Source organism: Homo sapiens, chromosome 16, assembly GCF_000001405.40.
Source record: "Homo sapiens chromosome 16, GRCh38.p14 Primary Assembly".
Classification (NCBI taxonomy): Eukaryota; Metazoa; Chordata; class Mammalia; order Primates; family Hominidae; genus Homo; species Homo sapiens.
In genome coordinates this window covers 88,580,417-88,598,923 of record NC_000016.10, presented here as the reverse complement: position 1 = coordinate 88,598,923, position 18,507 = coordinate 88,580,417, and the positions used below count along the sequence as shown (strand labels likewise).

The window sequence follows — 18,507 nt, the reverse complement described above, 5'->3', positions numbered from 1 at the left end:
TGGGCCATTGCACTCCAGCCTGGGCAACAAGAGTGAAACTCTGTCTCCAAAAAAATAAATAAATAAAAAATAAAGAAAGACACCACAGAAACAGACGCCTAACTTCAGAGATTTCTGGGGCTCTCTCTGGACCGAGGAAATCCCAGTTTTGTCAAGAACCACTCCTGTAATAGCATCTTTCTTGTCGGGATTTCTGCTGAATTGTGTTTACCTCCTTTGCATGCCGGAGTCCTCGTTCCCAGGCACTCTCTGTTGGGGGCTCTGGAGGGGGTGGAGGCAAAATTTCATCAACTACCGGCCCACCCTATTGAAAAACGAGAAGGGAGAAGGTGAGAAAGTAAAACTTTCAAGTGTACAGAGAAACCAGACAGTAAAAACATCAACTACAACACAAGCCGGCCGTGTGTGGCCGCTCTCCTTCCACCAAGCCTCACTCCGTCCTCGGAAAGCCGAGGCCTGCTTCCACTCGGGACGACAGAAGCAGCCGAAAGGGGGCACTGAGCCTGTGCTAAGGCACAGTGACTTGTCTTAAGCTTGAGATTCAGACACAGCTCAGTTGGCTGATGTGCTAACAATGAAAGAAGAGGCATCACGCACCCAAGGGTTGGCGGGCATCAGCGGGTGAGGTCCGAGAGGCGGGGCACCATTAGGCGGGAAGGGGTCGGCTTTGGTGATTAGGGAGTAGTTCCCCTTGTCGTTCACTCCAGGGTGTATAAACCTACAATTCATTCCCCAGGTACAGTTCCCTATGGAAACAAAAGTGAGATCAGAAAGGGTCCACAAGAGCCTAATTGCACAAGGGCAGCTGCTGGGGTGGGGGGTGGGAGGGGGCAGAGGCCATGTTTACCCAGGCCTGATGGCGAGCCACACAGTAGTGGGAACTGAACGGGGAGGTGGGCGGGATGAGCCTGGAGAGGCTGAGCCAGACAGCTGCACCTGCCCAGGCACGGCAGTTCCCCAGAGGCTGCCAGGCACCTCGGTCAGAGTGACCACAAAGTCACTTTGTGGAGAGTTCACGCGTATCAACTGTCTGAGTATTAATTTTCCCCTTAAACCAGAAAAGCCCCAGAGCTTTGCTTCCAGCCCTGGCCCAGGCTCATCTAGGTACAACTGGATGTTAATTGTATTTGTGCCGAAACAGACATCAATGAGAAGCATTAACAATGATCAGAAGCCTGCAGGTGTGCTCAGGGTCCCCTTGGCCACCTCTGTACGTCTGCATTTCTCTCACAGAGAAAACTCTCACAGGGCATTTCAAGATATTTCTGGAACTGAAACGGGCTTTTACACTTTGCTCATAAATAACAATCACAAACCTTCATCTTCAACAGAATATCCGGGTTAGTAAAGGAGACCTCGACTTTCAAGTGTAGAATATAAGACATCTAAGTGTCTAACTCAATTACTGAGTGAATCACTTTTTTAAAATGTACTTTTTTGGGAATAGATAATGTGTACACATTGTTTAAAACCAAATATGGCATATAGTATCTAAGCGGTTTAAAAATTTTTTTCAATGGGTTAACATGCAGTTAGATTTTAAATCATTTAAAATTTTAACCTTAAACATCAGGAACACTTAAGCCTGCATTAAAACCAACTCAATACAACATAATAACAATATCGATCCAAATTAAACACGAAAGAAAACTTAAAACTGCTTCTCTGGAAATGCAAAAATGACAAGTAATTTTTAAAATTTCTAAAAGCATTTCAGAGATCACACATAAGTCAAACGAAGTTGGGAGGCCAGGCGTGGTGGCTCACGACGTCAAGAGATCAAGACCATCCTGGCTAACATGGTGAAACCCCGTCTCTACTAAAAAATACAAAAAATTAGCCGGACGTGGTGGCAGGTGCCTGTAGTCCCAGCTACTTGGGAGGCTGAAGCAGGAGAATGGCGTGAACCCAGGAGGTGGAGCTTGCAGTGAGCCGAGATCGTGCCACTGCACTCCAGCCTGGGCAACAGAGCGAGTCTCTCTCAAAAACAACAACAAAAAACAAAAGAGGTTGGGAAATGTTATTCTATAGGGGGTTCAAAAATCCAGAGCCTCAGAGAGATTTAAAGAAAAACTGACTATGCAGTCATCCATCTGAGACTCAACACACTACAGAGCTCTTCATGGTTTGCCTCTGAAAATACTCATGCAGTATTCAAAATCACGTGTGTAACTAAACAAGTAACAAAAGCTCATTGTAAAAAATGTCCAAGTACAGAAAAGTGCTGACAATAGAAACCACAGCTTTTCTGTACTCCTTTTCCTTTTTTTTTCAGATGGAGTCTCACTCTGACTGAGTGAGACAGTCCCAGGCTGGAGTGCAATGATGCAATCTCGGCTCACTGCAACCTCCACCTCCTGGGTGTCAGTGATTCTCCTGCCTCAGCCTCCTGAGTAGCTGGGATTACAGGCGGGTACCACCATGCCAGGCTAATTTTTGTATTTTTAGTAGAGACGGGACTTCACCAACTTGGTCAGGCTGGTCTCGAACTCCTGACCTTGTGATCTGCCAGCCTCGGCCTCCCAAAGTGCTGGGATTACAGGCGTGAACCACCACACTCGGCCTCTGTACTTCTTTTTCATCTAAAATATGTATCTGGGTGGTGGCTAAATGTTATCGTTCTTTTCTGTATTTATGAAAATTTTTAGGACATCACCTACGAACCTACTATCAAAAAAGATCCTTTCTCACTGATATTGGCATGGGGAGAAAAGAGGAACAAGGCAGAAGAGAACAAACCAGTGAGCGCCAAAGAGCAAGCTGAGAAGGCGAGCGTGGGGCTGCCACTAGAGACCAGACACTAGTGGGTGACAGTGTTCAGCTCTCGGGAGCCACCTGCCCGGGGGTGCTGAGCGCTGTCCTGCCCCTGGCCAGAGTAAAGGGGAAGATGGCTCTGGAAAGCAGCACAGTTGGTCTGCACGTCTAGCTGGGACACACTTCCAGCAGACGTCAGGCAGAAAGAACACCATTGTCCCATCTATCTTTTTAAAATGTGAACTTTTATCTGTGTAGGAACACACCCAACTGTCGGGAATGTGGGAAGGGGCTTTAGATTTTATTTTCTTGCCTTCTGCCAGCCCATATTACTTTCTTTCCTTTTTTTAATTTTTTTTTTTTTGAGATGGAGTCTCGCTCTGTTGCCCAGGCTGGAGTGCAGTGGAGCGACCTAGGCTCATTGCAACCTCTGCCTCACAGTTCAAGCAACTCTCCTGCCTCAGCCTCCCGAGTAGCTGGGATTACAGGTGTGCACCACCAAGCCCGGCTAATTTTTGTATTTTTAGTAGTGACAGGGTTTCGCCATGTTAGCCAGGCTGGTCTCAAACTCCTGAAGTCAGGTGATCCGCCCACCTCGGCCTCCCAAAGAGCTGGGATTACAGGTGTCAGCTACCGTCCCCAGCCTTACTTTCATAATTTAAAAAGCAATTTGTTAAAAAAAAAAAAAAAAAAAAGAAAGAAAGAAATTATCCAGAAAATAGAAGCAACAATAAAGATCTTCTGGTTTACAAATGGGACTTCAAACCCAAAATTTATGTGGATTGTGATTCTAACAGTATAAAGATAGTTCTGCGGATACTGTGTACACAGACATGGCCTCAGGCCAGAAGAGGACAAGGAGGGACAGAGGCCGCTGGAGCGGGGCGGAGGCGGCCCCTCCACTGCTGAAATGTCTAAGTACTATTTCTGGCTTCAAGACAGGATGATGGTCTTTTTCTTAACTGGAATGTCGGCACAGCAGCAACTGGTTTTTCTTTTGTTTTGTTTTTGTTTTTTTGAGATGGAGTTTTGTTCTTGTTGCCCAGGCTGGAGTGCAATGGCACAATCTCAGCTCACTGCAACCTCCGCCTCCCAGGTTCAAGTGATTCTCCTGCCTCAGCCTCCCGAGTAGCTGGAATTACAGGCATGCACCACCACGCCTGGCTAATTTTGTATTTTTAGTAGAAACGAGGTTTCTCCATGTTGGTCAGGCTAGTCTTGAGCTTGCGACCTCAGGTGATCCGCCCGCCTCGGCCTCCCAAAGTGCTGGGATTACAGGCATGAACCACCACGCCCAGCCAACTGTTTTATTCTCTTATTAATCTTTACGCTTGTGTAAACACTGTATTATTTTATATATATGAAATATTTCATAATCAAATGAAATACTTGTAAATAAAAAATACCCACCCACTCTAAAAGGTACACTGTGAAGTTGACCACCTATCCCATGCCTCCAGGGCCATTCCCAGAGGCAGTTATCAATATACTGGGGCTCCATCCATCAATCATTGCCCCCTTTTACCTGAGCATATATATTATGCTCTGTGCTGAACCTTGCTTTTTTTCACTAAACAATGTAACTACAGAAAGGGAACCTGCATGCTCAGTAGCAACCAACCCAAACTGGATCAGGGAAACAGACAGGAAACAGATAGGAAACATGGAAAATCCGGAAACTAAACACAGAGGTGGCAGGAACTGAGGCTCAGCTCATGCTCCAGCACAGCCCACACATGAAGTATCTTTAAATGTCTCTTCTGATTTTGAATACAGTAAATATCAATTCCCTGTGTTTACTTGGTTTATATGTGTCATTTCTATTGATACGTACGATATTAGAAATTAAGAGACACTTAAAGATATCTCATTATTTAACAATAACAAGATATCCAATATATAGTAACAAATATTTATGAAACTGTTTTTAAAATATTTGGTGAGAGGAATAGCATTCTTTGCCTTTTTGCGAATCTCTTGAATGCTGACCCTGGAAAACCCCTGGCCTCCCATCTGCATGCGATCGACCATGAAGGGCCGCTGTGGCTCAAGCAGGAGAGGACATTACAGCCCCAGGAAGAGATGCAGCTAGAGAGGGAGGGGCATCTAAAAGCCTTTTCAGTGTGCTCAGAGCTTCTCCCTGACACCGCACTCAGCAAGGGAAGGCTCCTTACAGCGAGCTGCAATTGAACCCTATCACCACACTTTTCCAACTTGGTTCTTCTGAAATCCATTGGTCTATCTTGAACTTTGAATGGGTCTTTTACCCAGGCATGATTCTGTGACATCCTGCAATGGTCACCTGAGAAAGTCCTGACACACTGAGAAGCTGGTGAGCACACAAAAGTCCAATTTTCAACTGAAAGCTCCAATTTTAATACTGCTAACACTGTCCGTTGTTCTCCTTGAAGCCACAGGCTCACTTTGTTCCTGCCAGGACCCGGATCTGCATTCCCTGGCATGTCTGCCAGTCTTTCTCATCAATGTGTGCTCCACGGAGAGCGCACAGGGTCAGCCGCAGCTCCAGCCTTGCACGTGCTGCCCCTTGAGGCCGCTGGACTTGGGTGCCGGCAGGGGCTCTACCCACGCTGCCACTCCACCACGCTGAGTACTGAGACACACACAGAAGCTCTGCTTTCTGGCTTTCCACAGTTTCAGTTACCTGCGTCTGAAAATACTAAATCGAAAATTCCAAAAATAATTCCTAAGTTTTAAATGATGTTCTGTGCTGAGCAGCGTGATGAAATCTTGTGCCGACCTCCTCTGCCCCACCTGGGACACGAATCATCCCTTTGTCCAGCAGATGCAAGCTGTCCACGACGCTAACTGCCCACTAGTCACTTAGCAGCCCTCTTGGCCAACAACCGTTGGGGGTACGGCGGTGCTGTGCTCACTGTGGCTCAGTGACCCAGGATCACTGGGGGCAGGTGACCTTCCTTCTGACGCATTGGCAGGAGGTCAAGGGGGGCCCAATGCTAAGTGGCAGGGCCTCCGTGTCATCATGCGAGCATATTTCATCCCACGTCATCAGATGGCTGAGTGGCTGAGTGCAGTAAAGTGAGCTCTTTTGAGAGATCACATTCACATTTTTATTACAATTGCTCTATTTTATGATTGGCTATTGTTGTTAATCTCTTACTGTGCGTAACTTATAAATTAAACTTTATCATAGGGATATGCTTATATAATCATGGAACTGTACACTTAAAATGGGTCAATTTCATGGCACATAAATATTACTTTAATAAAGTTTTTTAAAAAGAACTTACGAATAATAAAAATAAATAATACATCTGTACACAAGTGTAAGATTTAATTAAATTACAGTTCTTACTACTACAGCACAGACATGAAGTAAAGTGGCATTCGAAATGCCAGTGCATGGTGAATGCCTGGCTCAGCCTTACTGTTATTATAAATATAGTTTCGATTTGGGAGGCCAAGGCGGTCGGATCATTTGAGGTCAGGAGTTCGAGACCAGCCTGACCAACTGAAACACAAAATTTAGCCACTACTAAAATACAAAAATTAGCCAGGCATGGTGGCATGCGCCTGTAATCTCAGCTACTCGGGAGGCTGAGGCAGGAGAATCGTTTGAACCCGGGAGGTGGAGGTTGCAAGTGAGCTGAGATCACGCCATTGCACTCCAGCCTGGGCAACAGAGGGAGACTGTATCTCACAAAAGTAAAATAAAATGAAAGAAAAAGAAAAATAAATAAATATAGTTTTGACCTCAGGGTCCCCTGAAAGGGTCTCAAGGACTCCCAGGGGTTCACAGATGACACTCAGACCTGCTGCTTTAAACACAGTTTTGCAAGGATTCAAAACTGAGCAAAAGACATTTCTCCAAGAAGATACACAAATGACCTATTAAGCACATGAAAAAAGACACCCCACCACCCATCTTCAGGAAAGGCAGATCAAAACCCAGTAAGATATTACCTCCTACCCACTGAAATGGCTACTATCAAAAAAAAACAGAGAACAGAGTAATGGTGAGGACGTGGAGAAACTGGAAGCCCCCACACCACTGGTGGGAAAGTAAAATGGCACAGCCACTGTGGAAGACAGCTTGGCGGCTCCTCAAAACATGAAACATACAACCACCAGGTCATCAGCAACTCCACTGCCAGCGGCTCCGCAAAAGATGAAACACACAACCACCAGGTCATCAGCAACTCCGCTGCCAGCGGTTCCTCAAAAGATGAAACATACAACCACCAGGTCATCAGAAACTCCGCTGCCAGCGGTTCCTCAAAAGATGAAACACACAACCACCAGGTCATCAGCAACTCCACTGCCAGCGGTTCCTCAAAAGATGAAACACACAACCACCACGTCATCAGAAACTCCGCTGCCAGCAGTTCCACAAAAGATGAAACACACAACCACCAGGTCATCAGCAACTCCACTGCCAGGCACATGCGAAAGAGCTGAAAGCAGGGTCTGAAGAGATTTTTACGCCCACGTTCACAGCAGCTCTATTCACAATTGCCTAGAGGTGGAAACCACCCAAGTGTCCACCCACAGATGAGGGAAACACCCAATGCAGCTGCTCCACACTAACAAATATTGGTCAATCTTTTTTTTTTTTTTTGGAGACGGAGTCTCGTTCTGTTGCCCAGGCTGGAGTGCAGTGGTGTGATCTTGGCTCACTGCAACCTCCACCTACTGGGTTCAAGCGATTCTCCTGCTTTGGCCTCCCAAATAGCTGGAATTAGAGGTGTGCTCTACCACCCCCAGCTAATTTTGTATTTTTAGTAGAGACAGGGTTTCACCATGTTGAGCAGTCTGGTCTCGAACTCCTAACCTTGAGTGATCCACCCACCTCGGCCTCCCAAAGTGCTATGATTACAGGCATCAGCCACCGCACCTATTATTCAGTCTTAAAAAGACAGAAGGCCAGGTGCAGTGACTCACGCCTGTAATCCCAGCACTTTGGGAGGCCGAGGAGGGCAGATCACGAGGTCAGGAGATCGGGACCATCCTGGCTAACACAGTGAAACTCCGTCTCTACCAAAAACTACAAAAATTACCTGGGCGTGGTGGCGGGCGCCTGTAGTTCCAACTACTCAGGAGGCTGAGGCAGGAGAATGGCGTGAACCCAGGAGGCAGAGCTTGCAGTGAGCCGAGATGGTGCCACTGCACTCCAGCCTGGGTGACAGAGCAAGACTCCATCTCAAAAAAAAAAAAAAAAAGTATTCCACCACAATTTTAAAAAATTAGGGGGAGCACAGCCAAGGAGATCAGACCCAAAAAATGGACTGGGATGCTTGTTCACTGAGGGATAAATCAGAAGCCCAAAGTAGGGGCCGGGTGTGGTGGCTCACACCTGTAATCCCAGCACTCTGGGAGGCTGAGGTGAGCGGATCACCTGAGGTCAGGGGTTCGAGACCAGCCTGGCCAACATGATGAAACCCCATGTCTGCTAAAAATACAAAAATGAGTTGGGGGTGGTGGCAGATGCCTGTAATCGCAGCTACTCGGGAGTCTGAGACAGAAGAATAGCTTGAACCCAGGTGGAGGTTCCAACGAGCCGAGATCTCACCATTGCACTCCAGCCCGGGTGACAGAGCGAGACACTGTCTCAAAAAAAAAAAAAAAAGAAATAAAGAAACCCAAAGTGGGACACAGTTTAAAGAAGATGCTACTTACTCCTCTGTGGACAGAACTTTGTGTCCTGATGATCCAACACAGGCCCACGAGAGATAAAAACATCCCATGAAGAAGTACAGCTCCAGTTGTAGTGTATGTGCTGTGGAGCCGGGCAGGCGTACACAAAGCACTGATCTCTAAAATGTGAGCAAGGTGTGTTCCCAGTGCATTTTGCTGTCATTTGGTCACAAATCTCAATGTGTCCACTAAGCGATTAAATGATTAATCTCTATATCACAACGTGTCGGAGATAAAGCTAAGAGAGGCCTGAGCAGTGGCTCATGCCTGTCATCCCCATACTCTGGGAGGCTGAGGTGGAAGGATTGCTTGAGCCTAGTATTTGAGACCAGCCTGAGCAATATAGTGAGATCCCATCTCTACAAGTAATTTAAAAAAGAAAGATGAGCTCTTGCAATGTTGCCCAGGCTGGTCTCTAACTCCTGGGCTCAAGTGATCCTCCCCATTCAGCTTCCCAAAGTGCTAGGATTCCAGGTATGAGCTACCATGCCCAGCCACCGACTTTTTTCTAAGAAAAGAATTTTCTAATTGTGACACAATTCACATAACATAAAATACTCCCATTTAATGTGTACAATTCACTGGTTTGCAGTATATTCACAAAGTTGTGTAAGCATCACCACTAGCTAGTTCTAGAACATTCCATCACCCCAAAGAGGAAATCCTGTACTCACTAGCTATCACTCTCCACCCCCAGTCCAGGCAACGAGGAATCAATCTACTTTCCGTCTCTGTGGATCTGTGGCCTTCTGTGCTCCCTTCTGTCACTCAGCACGTCTTTAAGGCTCGTCCACATTGTGGCATGAGTCACAATCTACTTTCTGTCTCTGTGGATCTGTGGCCTTCCGTGCTCCCTTCTGTCACTCAGCACGTCTTCAAGGCTCGTCCACGTTGCGGCGTGAGTCACAATCTGCTTTCTGTCTCTGTGGACCTGTGGCCTTCTGTGCTCCCTTCTGTCACTCAGCACGTCTTCAAAGTTTGTCCACATTGTGGCATGAGCCAGTGCTTCATTCCCTTTATGGCCAAGTAGCATTCCACTGCATGGACAGGCCACACTTGTTTATCCATTCCTCACTTTTTGGGTACCTGGGTTGTTTCTCTTTGGTTACTGGAAATTATGCTGCTGTGAACATTAATGCACAAGCTTTCACATAAATGCACACGTCCGTTTCTCTTGGCTGCATACCTGCAGTGGAACTGCTGGGTCATACAGTGGGTACCCGGGAGCTTCTGAGGAACTGTTTCCTAAAGCAGCTGCACCGTTTTACCCTCTCACGAGCAGTGAATGAGGGCTCCAACATCTCCATATCCTTGCCAACACAACAAACTTCATTTTGTTTTTAAAATAACTTGTTGTTATTGGAGAGATCATAAACTGAAGAATTTCAATTTCATATAAACTGCAGGTAGGCAGAAACATTTAAGTCCAAATTTCTCATAACAAAGCAGCAGCAGAAGACATGATCTAGAAAACGGTAAGAATCAGCCACTTCCTCTGTACCGTATCACCTCACTCTACAGAATAAAAACACTTCTGAAATGAGTTATTGATAACACCTGATTAAGCCGCAAAAATGCTGCCTTATCTAGCTTCTGACTTTTTTTTTTTCAAGAGACTGAGTCTCACTGTCGCCCAGGCTGGAGTACAGTGGCACGATCATGGCACAACTGCAGCCTCAACTTCCCAGGCTCAAGTGATCTGCCCCTGTCAGCCCCCACCCCCCACGTAGCTGGGACTACACATGCGTGCCACCAAACCCTGCTAAGTTTTCATTTTTTGTAGAGACAAGGTCTCACTATGTTGCCCAGGCTGGTCTCAAACTCCTTTCTTGACTGTAGAAACCCTTCCACATGGTCTCACTTGCTGAAACCCAAACTCAGTACTTAGTCTAACTTTGGGGGCACCACCTTCCAATTCTGACCAACCCACGTGATGTGCAAGGAGACAGGATCCTGTCTGTGTTCATCCAGGCATCTCCCAATGAAGGGAATGAAGAGTTCCAGTAACCATCTCTCTGTCTGTTTTGTGCTTCTGTTGTTAAATTCTGGAATTAGCTCAGCAGTGAGCCCTGGGCTCCTGGTCCAGAGTCTCCCTGCCCTGGTGGATGCTGCAGCCTCCTGCAGTTGGAACCATCAGGCCAACGCCGACTGGCCGGTCAAGCTTCCCAGTCACACTGCCACCCAGAGACCAGAGCACTGCACTGTGATGGGTGCTGATTCAAAATGACTGCAAATGTGTACACGTACATGTGTACAGATTGTTCTCCATCACTTTCATACAGAAATTTGAGACACTGATGTTGTTAATTCCCACACTATTATGGAAAAGAGGTCTTCTGCTTAAATTCCAATTTCTTTAAATACTGACACTGTGAATACCAAAGCTTTTCCAAAACGTACCGCACATTTCTCTGCATTCTTAGGTGTGTCTGTGACAATCTACGGCTCTAAGTCTGCTGCCCTCACAGGCTCTCCCCAGTAGGGGCCCCTCACATGCACGTGTGACTTGGGCACGTCAACTGTTTTTGCTTGGCAAAACCAAGCAAGCACACACCCACAGGAGCGAGCCTAACCCGGGGTTCCCATGAGCCCCACATCATCAGGTCATCTCTTGCACAGGGGCGTTCCCGGCTGCTCTAAGAGCACAGCCTGCCTCTGAATGATGGGACTCCGCCACACCCCAAGGGTGTGTCCTGCCTGTCCCCGATGCTCGACTGGCTCACGTGCCTCTAAGGAGGAGGTTCCGAACAGCTCTCTGCCCCTCAAAGACCCCCTTTCCTTCTGGCTTCACAGCTGTGTTCTGGATCCAGGAGAAGGAAGTCTGGCCTCTGGAGTAGGGGGACTTTAAGGTACTGAAGAGAGTGAATATAGCGTATTTTGTACCTTTAACCTGGCCTCTGAATGGTATGGAATTGGATATTGGTGGAAGAAGAGTGGATAATGGTGTCACAACATCTGGAAAAGAAGTACAGGAAGCTCTTGTGAGCTTTAGATGGCACACACAGGCTGGCAGTGACAGTCATCTATGGGCTTACAGCAAAATTAAGAGAAAAGAGAAAAACACCTTCCTACCTTTCCAAGGGGAACGCTGAATTACAAGAAATATGCCAAAACTACTGCTGCACATCAAAGATACCCTTACAAGTTGGAAATTCTCATTTCCATTTCCGAATCCCCCAAGACATTAAGCAGCGAAACAAAAAGCCCTAACATCATCAGGCTAGAGTTCTGCCACATTTTAAAATGGGTCAGCCCAGACTTTTCTGACACTTTCTTACACTGTCCCCTGCTGCAGCTCCTGAACTCACACCATTCCTTCTACAGGAGAGAGCCCTGCTGCCTTCAGCGGCCATCTCTGGCCATTTCGAAATCCATTCCACACGAACAAACGCTTCGGACACATCTTGCAGGAAAAGCGGCCATCTCTACAGAGGTGGGGAAAATGCTAATTCTGGTGTCTAGAACATTCGGCCTTATGAAAAGGACCACTTTGAAAAATGACTGATGCCATCTGCATTATAGTTATGGGTCTGCTGCGATCGGAAGGGCCTGGGACCACCAGTGTGAGAATGAGAATGACCAGGCTGCTCCCACCAAGGCAGTCATTAAAGTGATAAAAGCACCAATAAAAGGGCCTATTGTTTACCATCAATATTGCCACCACCACCACCACCACCACCACCACCACCTAGCCAGTAATGCCCAGAGAACTGCCTTGAGCAGAGCAGGGCCTGGCAAGGTGAGCCAGCACCACAGCCCCAGAAGGTGGGGCCCCAGCTGGCTGCGAGAAGGCCTCACACGCAGACAATTACCTTTCATGAAGAACCGGCAGGTGGGACGAGGCCTCACCTTCCTGTCACTGGGGTCCTTCACTTCACCTTCTTCCAGGTCATCATCCTGAAACAGAGAACACCGTCTTAGCGTGGGGGAGGCATCTATCAATCAGCACTGCTTTCTCCAAACCAGAAGGGGCAGGAAGCTGCGTGTGGAACCTGGATATTGTCACAGGAATTGAATTCACGTCAATTTTCCAAATCTTAGGTCCCAGATCTACATAGCAGGGATGATCAGAGCGTGCCCGGCAGCTCTAAGCATCCCGCCACAGCACCAGGGAGAAGCACTGTGCAGCACACAGGGCAATTTACAGAGTGGGCTTTCGTGACATTTCTCTTAACTATCAACTCTGGGCAGGAAATAGTAACACTTCGGGGTTTTAAAACTTTTAACATTTAAATAAAATATGGAGAACAAAATATTTTATGTCCCTTAAACACAAACATCCTCTAATTTACAATTCTTGGGGAGGGGAGGAGTTGGGTGCCTCAGGGCAGTGATGCCAGCAGTTGGGAGTGGCCCGCCTTGAGGCTCATCCTCAACCAGCTCCTCACCCTGACTGTCAAGTCTTAGAACAACCCAGGAGCTCTAAGCTGGGCCTCACCCACAGGGACTCGGGTGCACAGCCAAACCTGACCCTTGCTTGGTGCTCTCCCCAAGCCACCCACTGTCCCAGGGCCTGTTCCCACGGACGTGCAGCTGAGACCCCTCCTTACACCACCCCAGCCCACGTGGGCACCAGCTGCCCACCTGACATCCCTGACACAGGACCATCCAAGATGGAAGTACTCGTCAGCCTGATCCCGGCCTCTTCCAGCCAGCCCTAGCGTAACCAATCTCACCGGTCCCATGTGGCCCCTCTTGATCCCCCTCCCCATCTCCTGCAATCTGCACCACTGCCCATCACACCCAGCCTGGTAAAACCACTTTCTAACTGACCTCTCTCATTCCCTCCTCAACTCCTCCAGTCTCGCTTCACAGTGTGAAGCGCCCTTTTCCAGTTCCAGGCCTGACCGCGTTCTTCCCTCTCCTCTTCCTGATTATTCAACTTACTTTCAGATGGAAGCTTGAGTCCCCTTCCTTGGGGTGGCCTTCCCTGAGCTCCCCCTACGACAGGTCCTTGCAGCCCCAAGCCCTGCAGGTGTTGCAGCCACACCTGAGCACCCTTGTGTTGACGACACCACCACCTGCCTGGCTGAACCCTGTGCCCCACCAGGGCAGGCCCACGTCTGCCAGGGCAGGCCCATCGCCAAGTTGCTGGGCCCAGGCAGCATCTGGCTCACAGTAAACAGTCCGTAATTATCTGTTGAATGAAAAAATGCTGAAACCAAACCCTGGATTTACGACAACCTAAACTTTCACAGCTTAAATATTTGCATCATTTTTTGCCTCAAAGATATCTGGTTATTAAAAAGTATTTTATAAGGAAAAGAACAGATTCCTGAGAGTTATATCCCTTAAGTAATCCAGCAGAATCACTTTTTAAAGAAATGATCAAACATAACAAATTAAAAAAAGAAATGATCAGAGAAGGCATGTTTAATTTATGCCAAGTGACAGGATGTCTCTCTTCTCTGGTCTTTTAGTTTGTGTCTTCTTTTTACTACTATTCTTACAGTAATGAGCACCACACTAAAATCTCAACGTGGTATTCTATGTAAGCTCAAATCTAAGTGGAGAACACATTCTTTGTTCCCATGAGAAAAACAAAACTCATTTGGAAAGTTCGAATCCATTCCAATCTTCCTGCCTTACTTGGAAGTGAGCGTGTAGGAGATGAGGTGGTGAGAAGGGTTTTTCCCGCATCAGGATGAATAGGAAACAAACTAGATCAGATGTAGCATTGTTTCTGCAAAGATGTAACCACCAACATTCACAGAAGCAAAAAAGGAGAACAATGTAACCACCTTAAGATTGGAGGGAGGACCCTGTAGCTACTAAAGGTGATCGGTAAACAGACCAGAGTTGCATACTGAAGGTGCGAGACATCATTTCAACCCAAAGAACACAGACTAGCACCTACACACTGACCCCAGTCACCCAGCCTCTACACCCGCAAGGACCAGGGGCTGTACATATTGGTGTGCTGGGCTTATGGCCCCTTTCAGTTAAAAAATCAAACAAACAAAAATAATCCACCAATCACTCAGCAATATAATATTGTGAATTTTCAACTAACCACCATTTAGCACAATGGTCTTTTAAATAATGGATGATTACCATGCTTTTTTTTTTTTTTTGGAGACAGAGTCCTGCTCTGTCGCCCAGGCTGGAGTGCAGTGGCACGATCTCGGTTCACTGCAACCTCTGCCTCCCGGGTTCAAGCAATTCTCTTGCCTCAGCCTCCTGAGTAGCTGGGATTACAGGTGCCCGACATCACGCCTGGCTAATTTTGTTATTTTTAGTAGAGACGGGGTTTTGCCATGTTGGCCAGGCTGGTCTTGAACTCCTGACCTCAGGTGATCTGCCCGCCTTGGCCTCCCAAAGTGCTAGGATTACAGGTGTGAGCCACCACGCCCAGCCTCCGTGCCCAATTTTTATTCTTACTTTATATGTGTAAATAACAAAATATTTAACCTCCCAAAATAAATAAACAAATCACTAAATAATGGATAATTAAAACAAGTTCTTAAATTTTAGAATATCATGCAAAGACAACTCAAGACAGGGACCCAGAGCTGAAGTCATCTGAGATTGTCACACTAAGTGTCTGCCACGCAGGAACTCCGGGTCTCCTGGTTTCCCTCACGCCGATGGCCTTCTGCTCATGTGACCCGAGCCACAGAGAGTAGGAAGCAGAGGACAAGGAGGGGCCTGAGTGGACCAGCTAGCTACAAATTGGCCTAAAAACGGATGGTGCCCGTGGGGCTCTCAACACACACCACCTGGGACAGGCCAAGTTGACGTGGACACTGAGGGTGAGTGTGAGGAGACACACAGGCCTCAGTGCACCCATCTGAAGCCGGGTCTCCACGCTGGCACACTCCTGCTGGTGCTTTCTCACCACAGGGGAAATACACACGTGGATAAAGGACACCAGGCTGAGGGCATCATCTACTCCAATTTTAAGAGCCTTTATAAAATTCACATGCAGTGGGGGAAAAGGCCCAGGTTCAAATCCTGGGTCCAGGCTGTCATGACTGTGAGTGTGGACAGGTCACCTGATCTGCAAAAGTCACCTGATCTGCAAAGCTCGCCTTCCCCTTTGCACCACGGGGCAAGTGCCCCAGAGCAGGGTGATGTGGGCTGAAGGAAAATGCTGCACCGTGCTTAAAACATGAGCAGCAAGTGCTCAGCAAGCGCGCCTGAGTCCTCCATTTCAAAGGAAACGCCTCACTGGTAACGTGCTAAACAGGACTAACTCAGAGCAATGACACAGGGGATTTTCGCTTTCTTCTTTGTGCAGCCTTTTCTTTTCCTTTCTTAAATAGAAAGAACACTGTGAACATGTATTACTTACACAACAAGAAAAAAGTTATTTCACACTGGAGCTTCTGTACAAAGGCAGATGCAGATAAGGAAAGGGGGCCACTGCGTGGAGCTGCTGTGCCAGAGGAAGCCGAGCAGCCGGGCCCCGGGCCCAACCTGGCACGGCCACTCAGGCCAACCACAACCTCCTGAATCCTGGGCATCTTGTCTGCAGGATGTGGGTGAAAATACGGGTCTATCATTCCTTAACTGAAACCTGTGGGGCCAGGTGTCTTGAGAATTCAGAAATATTCTGGCTTCAGAAAGGTGACAACACAGGGTCTAAAACGGTAGCCTGCGAGGTACACAGCAATCCTGTGCAGAGGTCTCGGGGACCCTCCCACAAGAGGGGAGGCAGGAGGCTATGAGCAGCCTCACGCCAGCTTGGGCCAGGTCTGCCACCAGGTGAGGAAAAGGTTTCAGTTCTCAGAGCTTCTGAGGCCTCAGAGCTGTAAGGACGGTGGCCTGCGCTTTTTCATGTGGCTATGTGGAACACTAACCACGCTAAGGGGCACAGAAGGTCTCTGAGCCTACTACTGATGCTACGGGGCCCTTTTTCCAAGTGTGGTACAGGCCGCTGCTTCCTGGGCTTTGGCAATAGAATGGGCGCACTTGGCACCTTATCAGTGACACGGAAGAGAACCCCACTTGAAGTGGAAACCCACAGCCATGAGGCTCGCTGAAGAATCTTCTGCAGAAGAGCTCATGGATCCAGACATAAAAGGCGGGTGGATCACGAGGTCAGGAGGTCAAGACCAGCCTGGCCAAGATGGTGAAACCCATTTCTACTAAAAATACAAAAATCAGCTGGCCGTGGTGGCGGATGCCTGTAATCCCAGCTAATCGGGAGGCTAAGGCAGGAGAATCGCTTGAACCCGGGAGGCAGAGGTTGCAGTGAGCCAAGATCGCACCACTGCACTCTGGCCTGGGCAACAGAGCAAGACTCCATCTCAAAAAAAAAAAAAAAAAAAAAAAGAAAAGAAAAAGGAAAGGTGGATTTAAACAGGAGAAAATATTAAAGACCATGTGCAAAGAAAATGTTCCAAAAGGTGGACTGAGAGCTACCAATTATGACAGGAGTCATGTGGCCCACCCACTCAGGACAGGGCCCACTGCGCTGCTGGCTGACTAGGAGGCCACCCTACAAATGTAGGAGGTCCTCAATAAGAGGAGAATGGAACAAAATGGGAACCCTATCCTTTCCAAGGGCCAGTGTGCTCCAGGTGACGGAAGGCCTGCTAATCAAATGTCAAGTCAGATATAAACACGGAACATGGAGTGAGCAAAAGAGCGGGCAGACAGACCCAGGCCAGGCCTCTCAACTGTAACGGCAAATCAGAGCCTCGCCAGGCTGGAAGGAGCTTGTCATCTCCCAGCAGGAAAGGTGGTTCTGGGGAGAGACTAGACGTGCAGGAGAAAGGAGAGGCTGCCACATGGCATGAGTGGGTCAGGGTGGGCTCCACGCACTCTTTGGACGGCAGGAGCATAAAAACAAGGCCTGCTGCACCCAGCTCTCTTCCATGCCGCTTCCTGAACAGGTAAGAGACCGGTGACTGAAGGTCAGCTGGTGTCAGGGACGCCCTCACCCACACCACAAATGAGCCAGGTGCTGCAAACTGCTGGTCCCAGCCCTGTACGGAAACTTTCCACCCCACCACGCAGGCCAGCGGCACTTCCAGAAGATACTTGCATCAGGGGGTGTTCTGGCAGCATACCAAACACAGATTCAAGGCCTTAGGCACAAGCTATGTGGTTTAAACAATTTCAAGGGCTTATTGTACAAATTGATGTCCCGATCAAGGAAAGTGTACCCCATAATCAGTTCACCTGTCCCAGTGACCCAAAATCTAAAAGGGACATGTGCCCTGAGAGAAGAGAAAGCGCTTCTGAAAAAGAATGATAAATCAGGCCAGGGACAGTGGCTTGGCACTTTGGGAGGCCCAGGTAGGAGGATCACTTGAGGCCAAGAGTTCAAGACCAGCCTGGGCAACATAGTGAGACCCCATCTGTTTTTTAAATTAAAAGCAACAAAAATTAAAAATCAAAACTAAGAAAAAGAGAAAAGAATGCCAAATCAAACGGCTCTCTAGACTTTGCCATTCAATCCTTCCAGGTATCCAGTAGACCAGGGTGCCAAGGGGTAGGCCACGAGGCTGCAGGCATGCAGGGAAAGCCTCTAGGCGAATCAGTCCCTCTCCTGACTGGGCCGGTAAGACCCTGCTGGGACCTGGAATGCTATGAGGCCTCAGAAACATCCATTTGCGAAGGTACAGGCCAAAGAGAGTAATTCTTCCACAGAGAAACATCTGGGTAGTAGACGTGACACCAGGGCTCTACTTGAAAGCAACGAGAAAAATGTCTTCTAGAACGGACACTTTGCACCACACGCAGAGGCTGCTTTCCAGGGACTGAAAGGAAAGGGGACCGGGCGAAAGGCCTGGTGGGAAGCTGACTGCTCACGGACCCGGCGCACCCCAGGGCTCCCAGTCCATCAGAGAAACCCAGCTAGAGACAGGGAGCAGGGCGCGGGGCAGGAATGCAGCAGGGCCTCTGAGAAAGAGGCAGGCACAGGAGGTGGGCTTGGTGGAGATACGGCAGAGATGCAAGAGTGGACGACAGGCTTGGAACTGGGCCTGAGAGGAGGAAAAAGCTGGAAGCAGCCGGAGCGGCAGCTCTTCATGCACAGGATGGCGTGGCGCGTACCTCTGCTGGGTCCTTCCCACAAGGGTGGAGGGCTGATGCTGCTCACGTGAACTCCCTTCCATCTGTGACTGGCTC

General features: G+C 48.2%; 1 protein-coding gene across 9 annotated transcripts in view, besides 2 other annotated features; it reads right to left on the bottom strand.

The window, feature by feature from the left end:
- Positions 1-18,507, bottom strand: part of ZC3H18 (zinc finger CCCH-type containing 18) — a 61,562-nt gene that overhangs the window by 33,041 nt on the left and 10,014 nt on the right. For 5 of the 9 annotated variants that reach the window (NM_001294340.2, XM_011522863.2, XM_047433609.1 and 2 more), the window contains exons 3-6: positions 12,240-12,324; positions 11,311-11,382; positions 598-746; positions 212-304 (exon numbers count right to left, since the gene is read on the bottom strand). In NM_001294340.2, coding sequence (NP_001281269.1) covers positions 212-304; positions 598-746; positions 11,311-11,382; positions 12,240-12,324 — 399 coding nt within the window. The remainder of the gene's footprint in view (positions 1-211; positions 305-597; positions 747-11,310; positions 11,383-12,239; positions 12,325-18,507) is intronic. The other 4 variants (NM_144604.4, XM_047433612.1, XM_047433611.1 and 1 more) reach the window with 1 other exon arrangement.
- Positions 6,964-7,213: an enhancer, noted in NCBI's record as "active region_11357". NCBI's record gives its function as "activates an Ori minimal core promoter by ATAC-STARR-seq in GM12878 lymphoblastoid cells {active_cell/tissue: GM12878}" and the evidence as "EXISTENCE:reporter gene assay evidence [ECO:0000049][PMID:35858748]".
- Positions 9,109-9,403: an enhancer, noted in NCBI's record as "tiled region #13594; K562 Activating DNase matched - State 17:Gen3'". NCBI's record gives its function as "activates a minimal TATA promoter and a strong SV40 promoter by Sharpr-MPRA in K562 cells {active_cell/tissue: K562}" and the evidence as "EXISTENCE:reporter gene assay evidence [ECO:0000049][PMID:27701403]".